Raw genomic sequence first — 16,617 nt, forward strand, 5'->3', positions numbered from 1 at the left:
ATGATGAAAACAGATGTGCTGTCATCCAGACTTTGTTGTTCCATTGATAGAGCACAGGCAGAGTAGATTTAGCATCATTCTTAAGAGCATTAGGGTTTTCAGAATTGCAAATGGGCATTGGCTTCAACTTAAAATCAGCAACTGCATTAGTCCCTAACAAGAGAGTCAGCCTGTCCTTTGAAGCTTTGAAGCCACGTATTGACTTCTCTTTCCTAGCTATGAAAGTCCTAAATTACATCTTCTTCCAACAGAAGGCTGTTTTGTCTACACTGAAAATCTGGTGTTTAGTGTAGCCACCTTCAACAACGATCTTAGCCAGATCTACTGGATAACTTGCTGCAGCTTCTCCAACAGCACTTGCTCCTTCACCTTGCACTTTTATGTCCCATAGATTGCTTCTTTCCTTAAACCTCATGAACCAGCCTCTGCTAACTTCAGACTTTTATTCTGTAGCTTCCTTACCTCTCTCAACCTTCATAGAATTGAAGAGAGTTAGGCCTTGATCTGGATTAGGTTTTGGATGAAGGAAAGTTGTGGCTGGTTTGATCTTTTATCCAGACTGCTGAAACTTTCTCCGCATTAGCAATAAGGTTGTTTTGCTTTCTTATTATTTGTGTGTTCACTGGAGTAGCACGTTTAATTTCCCTCCAGAACTTTTCCTTTGCAGTCACTACTTGGCTAACTGGTGCAAGAGGCCTAGCTTTCAGCCTGTATCAGCTTTCAGCATGCCTTCCTCACTAAGCTTAATAATTTCGAGCTTTCGACTTAAATTGAAAGATGTGCAACTCTTCCTTTCACTTGAACACTTAGAGGCCACTGAAGGGTTATTAATTGGCCTAATTTCAATATTGTTGTGTCTCTGGGAACAGGAATGCTGGAGGAGAAGGAGAGAGATGGGGAAACGGCCAGTTGGTGGAGCAGTCAGAACACATACATTTACTGATTAAGTTAGCTGTCATATGGGTGTGCTCTGTGGCAGTCTAAAACAATTATAGTGGTAGTATCAAAGATCACTGGTCACAGATTAACATAACACATATAATAATAATGAAAAAGTTTGAAACATTGGGAGAGTTATCAAAATGTGACACAGAGACACAACGTGAGCACATGCCAGGGCAATCAGGCAAGAAAAAGAAAGAAAGCGTATTCAGTTAGGAAAAGAGGAAGTCAAATTGTCCCTGTTTGCAGATGACATGATTGTATATTTAGAAAACCCCATCGTCTCAGCCCAAAATCTCCTTAAGCTGATGAGCAACTTCAGCAAAGTCTCACGATAAAAAATCAATGTGCAAAAATCACAAGCATTCCTATACACCAATAACAGACAGAGAGCCAAATCATGAGTGAACTCCCATTCACAATTGCTACAAAGAGAATAAAATACCTAGGAATCCAACTTACAAGGTATGTGAAGGACCTCTTCAAGGAGAACTATAAACCACTGCTCAATGAAATAAAAGAGGACACAAACAAACGGAAGAACATTCCACACTCATGGATAGGAAGAATCAATATCATGAAAATGGCCATACTGTCCAAGGTAATTCATAGATTCAATGCCATCACCATCAAGCTACCAATGACTTTCTTCACAGAATTGGAAAAAACTACTTTAAAGTTCATATGGAACCAAAAAAAGAGCCTGCATTGCCAAGACATTCCTAAGCAAAAAGAACAAAGCTGGAGGCATCACACTACCTGACTTCAAACTATACTACAAGGCTACAGTAACCAAAACAGCCTGGTACTGGTACCAAAACAGAGATATAGACCAATGGAACAGAACAGAGGCCTCAGAAATAACACATATACAACCATCTGATCTTTGACAAACCTGACAAAAACAAGAAATGGGGAAAAGATTCCCTATTTAATAAATGGTGCTGGGAAAACTGGCTAGCCATATGTAGAAAACTGAAACTGGATCCCTTACTTATACCTTATACAAAAATCAATTCAAGATGGATTAAAGACTTAAATGTCAGACCTAAAACCATAAAAACCCTAGAAGAAAACCTAGGCAATACCATTCAAGACATAGTCATGGGCAAGGACTTCATGACTAAAACACCAAAAGCAATGGCAACAAAAGCCAAAATAGACAAATGGGATCTAATTAAACTAAAGAGCTTCTGCACAGCAAAAGAAACTACCATGAGAGTGAACAGGCAACCTACAGAATGGGAGAAAATGTTTGCAATCTACCCATCTGACAAAGGGCTAATATCCAGAATCTACAAAGAACTTAACAAATTTACAAGAAAAAATCAAACAACCCCATCAAAAAGTGGGCAAAGGTTATGAACAGACACTTTTCAAAATAAGACATTTATGCAGCCAACAGACACATGAAAAAATGCTAATCATCACTGGTCATGAGAAAAATGCAAATCAAAACCACAATCAGATACCATCTCACACCAGTTAGAATGGCGATCATTAAAAAGTCAGGACACAACAGGTGCTGGAGAGGATGTGGAGAAATAGGAATGCTTTTACACTGTTGGTGGGAGTGTAAACTAGTTCAACCATTGTGGAAGACAGTGTGGCAATTCCTCAAGGATCTAGAACTAGAAATACCATTTGACCCAGCGATTCCATTACTGGGTATATACCCAAAGGATTATAAATCATGCTACTGTAAAGACACATGCACACGTATGTTTATTGCAGCACTATTCACAATAGCAAAGACTTGGAACCAACCCAAATGTCCATCAATGATAGACTGGATTAAGAAAATGTGGCACATATACACCATGGAATACTATGCAGCCATAAAAAAGGATGAGTTAATCTCCTTTGCAGTGACATGGATGAAGCTGGAAGCCATCATTCTGAGCAAACTATCACAAGGACAGAAAACCAAACACTGCATGTTCTCACTCATAGGTGGGAATTGAACAATGAGAACACTTGGACACAGGGTGGGGAACATCACACAGTGGGGCCTGTCGGGGGGTAGGGCGATGGGGTAGGGATAACATTAGGAGAACTATCTAATGTAAATGACTAGTTAATGGGTGCAGCAAACAAACACGGCACATGTATACATATGTAACAAACCTGCACGTTGTGCACATGTACCCTAGAACTTAAAGTATAATTTAAAAAAAAGAAAATATGTGTACCATCATTAACCATCAGAGAAATGCAATTCAAAGCTACAATGATATACAACATAAGGACGGCAATCCTTGTCATCAACATCATCAACATGATGTAAACTTGCTGAAGACAGGGTTTCTTTTCTTTCCCTTGCTGTAACCACAGTTCATAGAACACTTCCTGGCACATGACTGTTGACTAAAGCAGAGCCATCCAGGCCAGAGAGAATTACTAGAGGTATGCATTGAGGGTAGAAATAGTAGCAGCAGGGAGCTAGGTATGAAGGTTAGCAGGAGTGGGTGAAAGTCATGCCTAAATGAAACCAACATTGCCTCCAGCAGCTGTGGGACTGCAGGAGGGCAGGACTGGCTGCTCTCTGAAGGTCAGCAGGCTAAATAAAATGCTTAGAAACAGCCTTGGGTGGTAGGAATGGATGTTTCCGCACTCTTATTTAATAATTTTTAAATTTAGAAATTAATATATACAGAAGAGTGTGTAAAACATATATGTGCTCTTTAAAGAACAGCTATAAATCAAACATCCATGTAACCACCACCTAAGTTAAGAAATAGGACATTAGTCTGGGCATGGTGACTCACATCTGTAATCCCAGCACTTTGGGAGGCCAAGGCAGGTGGATCTCCTGAGGTCAGAAGTTCGAGACCAGTCTGGCCAATATGGTGAACCCCGTCTCCACGAAAATTACAAAAATTAGCCAGGCATGTTGGTGCATGCCTGTAGTCTCAGCTGCTCAGGAGGCTAAGGCAGGACAACTGCTTGAACCCTGGAGGTGGAGGTTGCAGTGAGCAACCTCCTGTCTTCTAAAACAAAACCACTCTCTTGATTTTTGTTATAATCATCCCTTGCTTCAAAAAATAGTTTACCATCTACTTCTGTACAGCTAGATAATATCTTATTCAGTTTTTAAACTTTATATAAATGGAGTTATAATAAATGCATTCTTCCATGATTTGCTTTTTTTCCTCTTAATATTATGTTCACAAGATACTTTTGTATCTTAATATGTAATATATATATATATATATATATATGTTTCTTAAGTAATTGATTAATTTACAATCCCATTAGCACTGTGTGCTCCCCACCTTGGTTAACAATTGATAATTTTATACTACATAATTTTTGCAATATGATAGGTAATCATATTTTCAACAAAATAAGTGAAATTTTAGCATAGTTTTAAATTTAGAGAAAAATTGCCAGAATGGTATGGGAAGTCCTGTATACCCCTCAGCCAGTTTCTCCTATTGTTAAAATCTTTACATTATTATGATATATTTGTCACAACTGAGAAAGCAACTTTTCTACATTACTGTTAACCAAACTGCACACTTTACTTGGACTTTACTAATTTTTCCATGAATGTTCTTTCTTCTAGTCCAGGATCCCACCCACTATGCCACATTCCACTTAGTCATCACGTCTCCTTCATCTTCTCTTGTCTGTGACAGTTTCTCAGTCTTTTCTAGTTTCTCATGACCTTGACAGTTTTGGGGAATACTTGTCAGGTATTTTGAAGATTGTCTCTCAATTTGGGTTGTCTGACGTTTTCCTCGTGGTTAGACTTGGGTGATGGGTTTGGTGGAAGAAAACCACAGAAGTGAAGTTCTCTTCTCATCATATCATATCAAGGGGACATACTATCCACATGACTTATCAACGATGGTGTTAATCTTCATTATCTGGCCAAGCTAGTGCTTGCCAGGTTTTTCCACTGTAAAGTTACTCTCCCTCCATCCTTTCCACACTCTACTCTTTGGAAGAAAATTACTAAACGTACTCCACACTTGAGGTGGAAAAAGATTATGCCCCACCTTCTGGAGGAGGGAAGTATCTATGTAAATTATTTGCAATTCTTCTGTATGGGAGATTTGTCTCTTCTCTCCATTTATTTACTCAATCACTTATTTATATTAATATGACTTAGGAATATTTATTTTACACGTTGGATTATAATACAACACTACATTATTTTGTTGCTCAAATTGTTCCAGCTTGGACCATTGGAGACTCTTTCAGATTGGCTCCTATATCTTTGGCACTTCCTTATTTTCTGGCTCCATAATATTCTCAAGGCTTACCTTATATTTTTTTCTGCCCCAGCTCTAGAACCAGCCATTTCCCCAAGTAGCCCTGGTCCCTTTTATTGGAGAATGGTGTTAAAAACCAAGATTTGAGTCTTGAGTGTGCTCACTGCTACTGGCTGTTGTTGATCCTAGGCCCTCTTAGCGGAAAGAGCTAGGAAATAAATATGCACATACAAATCCATAGATACACATACATATCTATAATTATTTCTGTATCTATCCATCTGTATCTACATTAAGTTAACCATACTGATGTGTCTTGCTCTATCCAATATTACTGTTCACTCTAGCCTTCCCCTCTCACTTATATGTAACTTCTCTCCCCAACAGTGAGAAATCTAACTCCCATCATCCAGCATCCATTTATTTATTTGTTCAACCTCAGTATACATGCACAGTAGCTTCAGAATTGTTAAGCCATATCCCTGTGAGAAATAACTTTACCAACTAGAACACAGTGCCTATGTATAATTCCTTTGTGTTTAGCCTTACAGTTTCCGGCTAACATTGTTTTTTCAAAGTTACTTAGGCCAGCTCCTTTCTTCTCTATCCCCTTCAAATGTTATATCATACATTTGTAACACAGTTAGATTCTTTTGTCACAGTCTGAATCCATCCTAGGAGCCCCTGACCTCCTGGTTGATTGATTTTTAAAATATACGCACATTGGGCCAGGCGTGGTGGTTCATGCCTGTAATCCCAGCACTTTGGGAAGTGGAGGTGGGCAGATCTCTTGAGCTCAGGAGTTTGAGACCAGCCTGGGGAACATGACCAAACACTGTCTCTACAAAAAATACAAAAGTTAGCAAGCGTGGTAGTGCATACTTGTAGTCCCAGCTACTTGGGAGGCTGAGGTGGGAGGATCACCTGAGTCTAGGAGGTTGAGGCTGCAGTGTGATTGCGCCACTGTACTCCAGCCTGGGCAGCAGAGTAAGACCCTGTATCAAAAAAATTTTTTACATTCATTAAAGTTCATTTTTTGAGCTGTAAATTTCTAAGGTTTTGACCATTGTATTGTATCATGTATGCACCACTCCAGAACCATACAGAATAATTCAATCACCCTAAAAATTTCCTAATATTTTCCCTTTTTAGTCAACTCCCCTTCCCCAAACCCCTGGCAAACACTTGATTGCATATTCATCCTTCTAGTTTTTCTCTTTCCAGAGATGAAAAACCATGCTTGCATATATTTCATCTCTCTAGTTTTTCTTTTTCCAGAATTTTCATATATATGAAATCATACAATAAATGGCCTCTGAAGTCTGGCTTCTTTCGCTTAGCAAAATACATTTCAGATTCATTGATAATTTTTCTGTGAATTAATAGCTAGTTCCTCTTTATCACTGCATAGTATTCCATTGTACCACAGTGTGATGGTTAATTTTATGTGTCAACTTGGCTAGGCTGTATGTCCAGTTATTCAATCAAACACTAATTTATGTGTCTCTGTGAAGGTATTTTGTAGATGTGATTAACATCTATACTCAGTTTACTTTAACTAAAGGTGATTACCTTTGATCATGTGGGTAGCCTCATCTAATCAGTTGACGGCCTTAAAAACAAAATCTGAGATTTCCCAGAGAGGAAGAAATTTGGCCTCAAGACTATAGCATCAGCTCCTTCCTGAGTTTCCAGCCTGTTGGCCTGCCCTACAAATTTCCGACTTGCCAGCCCCTACAGTCATGTGAGCCAATTCCTTTCAATCTCTTCCTATTTCAATAGATAGACAGCCAATAGGATATAGATCCTCCGGTTTCTCTGGAGAACCCCGACCGATACACACCGTTTGTCCATTCACCTATTGAAGGAGCAGGCCATCTTGGTTGTTTTCTGTTTGGGGCAATAATGAATAAAGCTGCTATAAACATTCACGTGCAGGATTTTGTGTTTATCTAACTTTTCAGTTCACTTGAATAAATACTTGGGAGTGTGATTGCTGGGTTATATGGTAAGTCTATGTTTAACTTTATAAGAAACTGTCAAAGTGTCTTTTAAAGTAGCTATACTATTTTGCATTCCCACCAGCAATGAATGAGAGTTCCTGTTCCCCTGCATCCTCATTGGTATTTGTTATTGTCAGGTTTTTGGATTTCAGCCATTCTAATAAGTGGAATCTCATTGTTGTTTTGATGTGCATTCCCCTAATGACAAATAATTTTGAGGGTAATTGTATTTTTAATTTCCCTTTTTCTAATTATTATTAAGGTTGAGTTTATTTTTCTGGATTTACTGGCCAACTGATTTTTCTTTTCATGAAGTGCCTGTTCAAGATTTTGCCTGTCTCTTATCTTTTTCTTATTGTTTCTTAGAACTTCTTTATGCATTCTGGGTATAGGTTTTCTCCGATGGTATGTATCACAAATATTTTCCCTTACTTTATGGTTTGCTTTTCACTCTTTATAAGGCCTTTTGATGAACAGAAAACTTGTCTTTGAACTAGAGCATTTGCTCTATTTACATTTAATTTAAATACAGACATATTGGATTTATATCTATCACTTATTTTGTGCTTTCTGTTTATTCCATCTGTTTTATTTATTTTTCTCCCCTTTCTCCCCTTCATTGACTTATTTGGTATCATTCAGTCTTTCCCTCTACTGCTTTGAAAGACATATACTCTTTTTTAATCTTCTTAGTGTTTTCCTTAGAAATTAAAAGATCATCCTTAATTTACCAAAACCTAATGTAGTAAATATCTTTATCCTCCTCTTGAGCAATAAAAGGACCTTCAAACACATTTATCTTCCACTCCTAAATTGCATGCTATTGTTACTGTGTATTTTAACACTGTCTTTTAAAAAAACTTTCTCTCACAGTATAATATACTGCAGAAATTTTCACATAGAAAAACGCTGACCCGATGAACTTTACAAACTGAACACATCCATGTTATCAGCACTCAGATCAAGAAAGATAACATTATCAGCACCCTGAAAGCTCCTCTTCAGTCAGTACTATGACCTGCCAAATGGTAACCACTATCGTGTCCTCTAACAACCTAACGTAGTTTTGCCTGCCTTTGTACCTTATAAAAAAGGAATCATACAATATGTATTTACTTGTGCCTGGCTTCTTTTGCTCAACATTATGTTTGTGAGGTTTACACAGATGGTTACTACCATTGTGATTTTGCTTATTGCTTTGATTGGCATCTAGTTTGATATTAATATGGCCGCTTCAGCTGTCTTCTTTTTTTAATTTTTTCTTCTTTTTTTGACTTTTCTTTCTCCAGTCTTTGATTCAGGATTCGGCTTTCTTTTGATTAATGTTTTAATAGTATATTATTTCCCATTATTTTACTTTTTTTTTTTGAGACAGGGTCTCACTCTGTCACCCACGCTGGAGTGCAGTGGCACAATCACAGCTCACTGCAGCCTCAACCTCCCCAGGCTCAGATGACCCTCCCACTTCAGCTTCCTGACTAGCTGGAACTACAGGCATGCAGCATCATGCGGGTATTTTTTTGGTAGAGACAGGGTTTCACCATGTTTCCCAAGCTGGTCTTGAACTCCTGGGCTCAAGCAACGCTTCTACCTCCAAAGCGCTGGGATTACAAGTGTGAGTGAGCCACCCTGTCTGGCCCATTGGTTTACTTTTTTTTTTTTTTTTTTTGAGACAAAGTCTCACTTTGTCACCCAGGCTGGAGTGCAGTGGCATGATCTGGGCTCACTGCAACCTCCATTTCCCAAGTTCAAGCGATTCTCTTGCCTCAGCCTCCCAAATAGCTGGGATTACAGGCACCAGTTTAGTAGAGATGCGGTTTCACCATGTTGGCCAGGCTGGTCTCGAACGCCTGACCTCAAGTGACCTGCCCGCTTCAGCCTTCCAAAGTGCTGAGATTACAGGCTGGAGCCACCGCGCCCAGCCCCATTTGTTTACTTTTAACCTATCTATATCTTTACATTAAAATGGGTTTCTTGTAGATGACAAGTAGTGTGTCTCGCTTTTTTCTCTAATCTGACAATCTTTTTTAACTGGTGTGTTTAGACTATCTACATTTAATGTAATTATTAATAGAGCTGAATTTAAATCAACCACTTTGCTAGTATTTTTCTGTTTGTTCCATCTTTTCTTTGTTCCACTTTTCTTTTTTCTGCCTTCATTTGGATGGAGTATTTCTTAAATTCCATTTTCACTCCAGCATTGTCTTACTACTCATACCTATTTTTAAATTGGTGTGGGGGGTGTGGTTCCTAGAGTTTAAAATATGCATCTTTGTCACAGTCTACCTTCAAATAATATACATGCATAATATTACATGCCTTCGCACAGGTGTAAACATTTTACAGCAACAATATACTTTCAATTCCTCCTGACCATTTTTTTATGTTATTGCTGTCACACATTTTACCTTTATATAAACTACAAACCCCAAAATACAATGTCACAATTTTTGCTTTAGACAATTTTCTTTTAGCGCAATTAGAAGAAAAAAAAAATCTTTCCACTTACCTTCATTAAAAAAAATCTCTAGAGCTACTCATTTTTTCTGTGTATATCTAAATTTTGTCTGGCATCGTATTCCTTCTTCCTGAACTTCTAACACTTCTTGCAGCTCAGGCCTTCTGGCAATGATGTCTCTCAGCTTTTGTTTATCTGAAAAGGTCTTTATTTTGCCTTCGCTTTGGGAAGATAGTTTTTACTGGAAATATATTTTTGGGTAACAGTTCTTGTTATTGTTTTCTCTTTCAGTACTTTGAAGATGTCACCTAACTGTCTTCTGGTTTATGTAATTACTTATGAGAATTCTTCTACAGCTCTGATCTTTGTTCCTCTCTAAGCAATGTACCTTCTTTTTTTCCTTGGGGGTCTTCAAGATCTTCTCTTTTTTGTTTATCTATTATGTTTCTGAGGATGAAATATGTCGATTTTCTGGTTGGTTTTTGCTTTCGTTTTGTTATTTATTCTTCTTGGGGTTCTCTTAGCTTCTTGGATCTGTGGTTTGCTGTGTATGTTTTTCATTATTTTTGGAAAATTCCTAGCCATTATCTACTTAATATGTCTTGTGTCCCATTCTCTTTCTCCTCCTTCTTGGGATCCAATTCCACTTATTTAGACTGTTAAATATTGTCTCATAACTCATGCATTCTCTGTGCTGTTTTATTGTTGTTGCTGCTTTGTTTTTACTCTTGTTTTCTTTTAGTTTGGGTAATATCTACTGACCATCTTCAAGTCCATTGACTTATTCCTCAGTTGTTTTGAGTCTTCTGACAAGCCACAGAAGGAATTTTTCATCTCCAGTACGGTGATTATATTGTCCACTTTTTCTATTAGATTCTATAACATATTACTCCTATTTGGTTTAAAGTCCCCTTATGATAGTTCCAACATATGGATCATGTCTGCATCTGGATTTATTGATTACCTTGTCTCTGGACAATGGGTTGTTTGTTTCTTGCCTTTTTTTGTGTGTTTTTATTTTTGATTGAATGTCAGACATTGTCGAGCAGTAGACACTGAGATAAATAGTTATTACACCTGGAAAAAGGCATGTCTCCTGTTCTGTCAGATCATTAGTGTGTGGAATTGAGTCAATCTAGTCAGGAGTTGAGTTGGGTTTGGGTTTTGTTGTTACTAGGGTTATCTTCAGTGTTTTGCAGTCTTCGAATTCTTCTAGAATTGCCTCAGGTTTAGGACTGGAAATGAGATGCTGAAGGATTTTTCTCAGTGATCTCAGGCTTCAGCCATCTCTGTACTCCTGTACCACATAGGGGCTTCCTCTCCACATTCTTGCTCTTCTCCCAGTAGCAGACTGATCTTGCTTGTTACAAATGCTTGCCAGGCTCATCGTGGGGACAGGGAGGCATTCTCTTTGCTGTGTCCCAGTCTCAGTGTTAGGCAGGCCCTGTGTGCTTGGGCCTTGGTGGGGAGAGGGAGGTTTGTTCAGGATTCCTGCCCCTCCTCCCAGTGGAAGCCAAAGTTTGCCTCATATCTGTGCAGAGTCTGTACTGGATAGGGTTTCCGGCCCTCTTCCATTCGTAAGAAGTCTCTAGTGGCATTTGTTTAGGATTCTGGGCCTGGAAGAGTTTCCTTTTCTTCTATCCTTCACCTATCAGCAATGGAATCTTGCCTGTGCCCATGCCCTTGAGGGTAACAGGGTTTGTTACCTCTCCCCTCATACATTGGGGTTAATTTTTTCCATATGAGAGCAGGGTTTGGGCAGGGAGACAGGGCAGTGTGTCTTTGCTGTAGTCATTTCTGAACTCTCCCTGCACATATGCACTACCCAAGGCTGCTCTCTACAATCGCTCAGCCTTTCCCTAGTTGTGATCATCAGTACTTGATGAAAGCCCAAGGAAAAGGGCCTGAGAGTATACTAAAACTTTCCTCTGGGACTCTAGACTGCCAAGCTAGCCAACACTTGGCTTTTAGCCTTTGTTAAACTTTAAGCTATTTTCTTCTCTACCTGTATGGTGGTCAGTGCCTCTTCCTATGCTCTGTTACAAGTGACCCAATCCCTAGATCTCATCTCTCCTTGGAGGTGCCTGTCCCCCTTTGGAATTCAGGGTATTTGGTTGTCCTCTGACCTCAGATCTCTGATGGATTCAAGAAAAGTTATGATTTGTAGTTTATCTGGCTTTTTCTTGCTGGGATGGGAGCAATGCTTTTTTTAGCTTCCTATATCTTGGGTGGTAGTAAAACCTCCCTCCTACATTCTTTCATTTATTTTTATTTTTTTATTTTTTAAGAGATGGGGGTCTCACTATTTTGCCCAGGCTGGTCTTCAACTCCCGGGCTCAAGCAATCCTCCTGTCTCAGCTTCCAGAGTAGCTAAGACTACAGATGTGTGCCACCATGCCTGACTCTCCCTCCTGTATTCTTTTTTTTTTTTTTTTTTTTTGAGACGGAGTCTCACTGTGTCACCCAGGCTGAAGTGCAGTGGTGTGATCTCTGCTCACTGCAACCTCCGCCTCCCAGGTTCAAGTGACTCCTTGAACTGGAGTCCTTGACTCCTGCCTCAGCCTCCCCAGTAGCTAGGATTACAGGCACCCGCCACCATGCCCAGCTGATTTTTTTATTTTTAGTAGAGACAGGGTTTCGCCATGTTGGCCAGGCTGGTCTCGAACTTCTGACCTCACGTGACCTGCCTTCCTCGGCCTCCTAAAGTGCTGGGATTATAGGCATGAGCCACCACTCCTGGCCCCTCCTGTATTCTTAAGAAAGCAAACAGGCTTCACCTCTTTTGCCAAGTCCTTCTCCCTCCTTACTGCCCTCTGATCTGGTTCCTCTCTGCTCCCCAACTCAATTCTCAATTCTTTATTCCCCAAAAGATCCTATCTAGCATTGTAAGGCCCTCTATAAAGGGCAAAGATGGGGAAGGGAGAGAAGAAATAGGGTGGAGATGTGCCAGTTGGCAGGGGTTAGTTAGAAGAAGGCTTGAATTCTCATACATTAATAAGTCTTGTCCTGTCACACTTGTAAATAATAGCGGTAACTGGGATGAGACACAGGTCACTAACACAGGCTGGTCCTCCCCCAGCCAGTCCTATGAGGGACCCAGCAGTCTTCCCCTTTAATTTCTCTATTGCTGGATGACAGGCCAAGTGGATTCACATGATAAAGTATTGGAAGTGAGAGGAGCAAAGTAGGGAGATGATGAGAAGTTGCTGAATAGCTTGGGGGTGGGGTTTTCAGGGAGTCTGAGAAGAGAGGAGCCAAACCAGACCTAGGATAGAAGTGGACAGGAGGAGAAAGTGGACTCAGTGCTGCATGGACTGCATATTAATTTTATTTATTATTATTATTTTTTTGAGATGGAGTCTTGCTCTGCCGTCCAGGCTGGAGTGCAGTGGCGTGATCTCAGCTCACTGCAACCTCTGCCTCCCAGGTTCAAGTGTTTCTCCTGCCTCAGCCTCCCGAGTAGCTGGGATTACAGGCTCCCACCATCACACCCGGCTGATTTTTAGTAAAGACAGGGTTTCACCATGTTGGCCAAGCTGATCTCGAACTCCTGACCTCAGGTGATCCACCCACTTCGGCCTCCCAAAGTGCTGGGATTACAGGCGAGAGCCACCGCGCCCAGCCTGGACTGCATATTTAGATTCATTTTTCTCTTCGAGAGAATCAAGCGAAGAATGGTGTCTTCCTGGGCTTTTCTGTGTAGGGGTGCTTCTTAAACACGATGCGACTCTGAGACTGAACCAGGAGTGTCTCAGCTTCCTTAAGAGTTACATTGCAGGCTCCCGAGGTATGTGCCAGAACTGTGTTAAGTACTTTACAGATGAAGAAACAGGGTCAGAGATGATGGGTGACTTGTCCCCAGTCACAGCTAATAAGTGACAGAGTTTGGACAAAAATCTAGCCAGGTCTGATGTTCTAGCCTAAGGTCTTTCAGACAGCTCTTCCCTGGGAAGCCACTGACCCCTGGCTCATTCCTGCCCCCTCATCCTTCCTGCCCCAGTATGCAGGGGTAGGCCTTCCCTCGGGGCCTGGCTGAGTCTATACCCTAGCCAGCCCCGCCATATCAGCCTCTAGAGACAGCCTTCCTGACACTCCCCAGACAGCCAGGCCCCAGGGCGTGCAGCCAAGCGGAACCTCTCTGGGTGCCCCCAGCCTGAGCTCTGGGTGTGCTGCTCCCAGTCACAGCCCAGGAATGTGGGCATCCAAGCATCAGCAGCAGACATGCTCGCTGGCTGTCAGCCGAACCAGGGCCCCTGAAAACTGACAGGAGCTGAAAGAACCATTAGACAGGAAGGCTGGACTGAGAGGGCAAATTTCAAGTCACCTGAGCTGTGCATGGCAACGCAAAGCAGCTAAAGCTGGTAATGTTGGGAAAGCCACTGCCTGATGGGCCTCCGTTTCCCCATCTGTAGACTGTGGATGATATCTGTTGGCCTGCCTGTTTCACCAGGCAGCTGTGAGAACATAAATGTGATTGATTGCATCACCTGATTATATTGCTACCTCAACCCATCTCAAAGACCCACAGGGGAAACTGAGGCTCTGAGAGCACACAGATGATACCTCGGTTGGTAATAGGGCCAGGCCAGGAATCCGGGCCTCCGGGCTCAGCTCTCACTGACTCAGTGTCGGACCCTGGGTAGATCTCTCTTCTCAGAGCCTTGGCTTCTTTATTGTAAAACGGAGGAACTGCCACGACAGTGCTTCTCAGGCTTAGTTGTACTCACGTAGCACTGGGCCCTTGTTAATCCACGGATTCTGATTCAGCAGGTCTGGGGCGGGGCCTGAGAGTCTGCATTTCTAACCAGCTTCCAGGGTCTGATGCTGCTGGCCCTGGGGCCACATTTAAGAGCTGGGGCCTGGAGGAGCCATATGGGCTTTCAGGTCAGACATTCCTAAACTTCCAGGGCTCTGGATGCCTCCTTCCCTTCATCGCAGCCCCCACGGGGCTGTCCTGAAACTCCTAGGTGGGAGCACTTCCTCTCTTCCCTGCGACCCTCCGCTTCATCTGCACCTGCCTCACCTTCAGAATCAAGAAGTCTCCAGCTCCTCCTGCCTCCCCCTGGGACCTGCCCTTCTCCCAGCCCTTAGTGGGAGACAGAACCCCATACCTATTGAGGATGTGAAGAGCTCAGACCTCTGGAGGATTAGAGAGCAGGGCTTCTAGGAAGTCTCTCATCCCAGGGATCTTGCTGACTCAGTAGCTTTCCTGCCCCTCCTGCCATGCCCGCCCAACCTCAGTAGCTGCTGGAGGGGATTTGTATGCCATCAGGATTTTGTAAAGAAAAGAGGGTGTGTGTTGGTAAGGAAGGAAGAAGCCAACATTTATTAAGGTCCTATTGTGTGGCAGGCACATTCGCAAGCATCGCTTCCGGCCAGCCCTTGGCCCTGTGAGGTGCACTTGCATTGAGCCGTCATTGTGGGGATGAAATATGGTGCAGCCCGGGAGACTCCTGAGGGACAAGTCAGCAGTGTGAGGAGGGGACAGAGGCCAGCCTGGTTTCCCAGCACAAAGAAAGAGGAGCCTGGGGGCAGGGAGCATCCAGCTTGGGGAGGGCCTACAGATCAGGGGTGGAGTTTGACTTCTTTCTGGGAGTTTGACTTCTTTCTGGGACAGCAGGAAGCGCGTTAAAGGGCCAGGCGAGTTTGAGAGAGGATCAAATGAACTCTTCGGAAGGACATGGCCGTTGAGTGGAGATGGGGGTCAGAGGGACCTCCATAAGGCTCCTTCCACTCGTGGGACCTTGAGCTGGACAGGCTGTGCGGTAGCCCTGTCGTTTGTCTACACGCGAAATATCTCTACAGCACGTTCTTACCACGATCTGATTCCCTGTAAAATCCCCAGGAGGGGGCAGCACAGGCCTCAGTCTCCCCTTTGGGAGAGAGGTCCAGGGAACACCACAGGCTTCCCCAAGACCACCCCAGGATGAGTCACTGGGCCAGGATTGGAATCCAGACTCCGTAGGCGGTCTGCTGCCAGGACTCTGGGTCCTGGGAGGGAAGAGGCCGGAAGGCCAGGGCCCAGCCCGGGTCAGCAAGCACCCATCACCCGAGCATTGCCCGGCTGGCCCGGCTCAAAATAGCTTTCCAGACACAAGGAAATATTTTATCCCACTCCGTTTTCCCACACAAAAAAAATAAACATCCCCAAATCTCAATGGGGCCAGACTCCGAAGAGGGGGGAAGGGGAACAAGAACATGGCTGGCTGCCCACTGAGAAGTCCGGTATTTGTCCTTTTAGTTCCTTTCTTGGGGTCAAGACTTTGCTTCCTGATATGAGCGTGGAGACTCCCACTGCTTTCCCAGTGGGGACTGGCTTTCCCTTGGTGTTAGGCTGCCCTTTCCCAGGGGTCACACACCTCAGACATTGTGATGCAGATGGGACAGCTGCAGGGACCATACATGGAAGGGTTAAGAAGCATATGACACAGCTCTGCCCTTGACGGGCTTACACGCCACTGGGAGGCATGGCTGGGCTTCCTGTCTCCCTGAGGAGCTCTTGGACACTGGGGAAGAGAAGACTAATATTTCCTGAGAGCCAACTGTGTGCCTGGTACACACCAGGCTCTTCCAAAGACACAATCCCATTTGACCCTCACCATAAGCCTTTGAGGCAGGTGAGGCTATGAGGCTATTATCACTTCCCATTTTACAGATGAAGAAACTGAGACTTGGGGCAGGCATGATCTGTGCAAGGTTTCAGAACCAGGGAATGGTAGACCGAGGACTTGATTTTACACAGGTGGCTGTAAGGCTGCACTTGGCGTCATGCTGGCATTGGTAGGGCCCACCTGGAGGCTGGTGGGTGGTGAAATGAGCCGGGGCTTGCTTGCGCACAGAGCTCCCGTTCTTCCCTTGGGTTGTGGTAAACCCAGTCCCTAGTGTCCCAGGACCTGACTGGGAAGGCAGAAATGAGGCTGCTGTTATGGATTGAATTGTGTTCCCCTAAAAGGTAAGTTGAAGTCCTACCACCCCCGACATACCTGTGAATGTA

General features: G+C 42.8%; 1 annotated feature.

Annotated features, from left to right (window-relative positions):
• Positions 15,375 to 16,067: an enhancer, noted in NCBI's record as "H3K4me1 hESC enhancer chr11:76290085-76290777 (GRCh37/hg19 assembly coordinates)". NCBI's record gives its function as "activates a minimal SCP1, AML or CMV promoter by ChIP-STARR-seq in naive H9 embryonic stem cells {active_cell/tissue: H9 hESC(naive)}" and the evidence as "EXISTENCE:reporter gene assay evidence [ECO:0000049][PMID:30033119]".

Source organism: Homo sapiens, chromosome 11, assembly GCF_000001405.40.
Source record: "Homo sapiens chromosome 11, GRCh38.p14 Primary Assembly".
Lineage (NCBI taxonomy): Eukaryota > Metazoa > Chordata > Mammalia > Primates > Hominidae > Homo > Homo sapiens.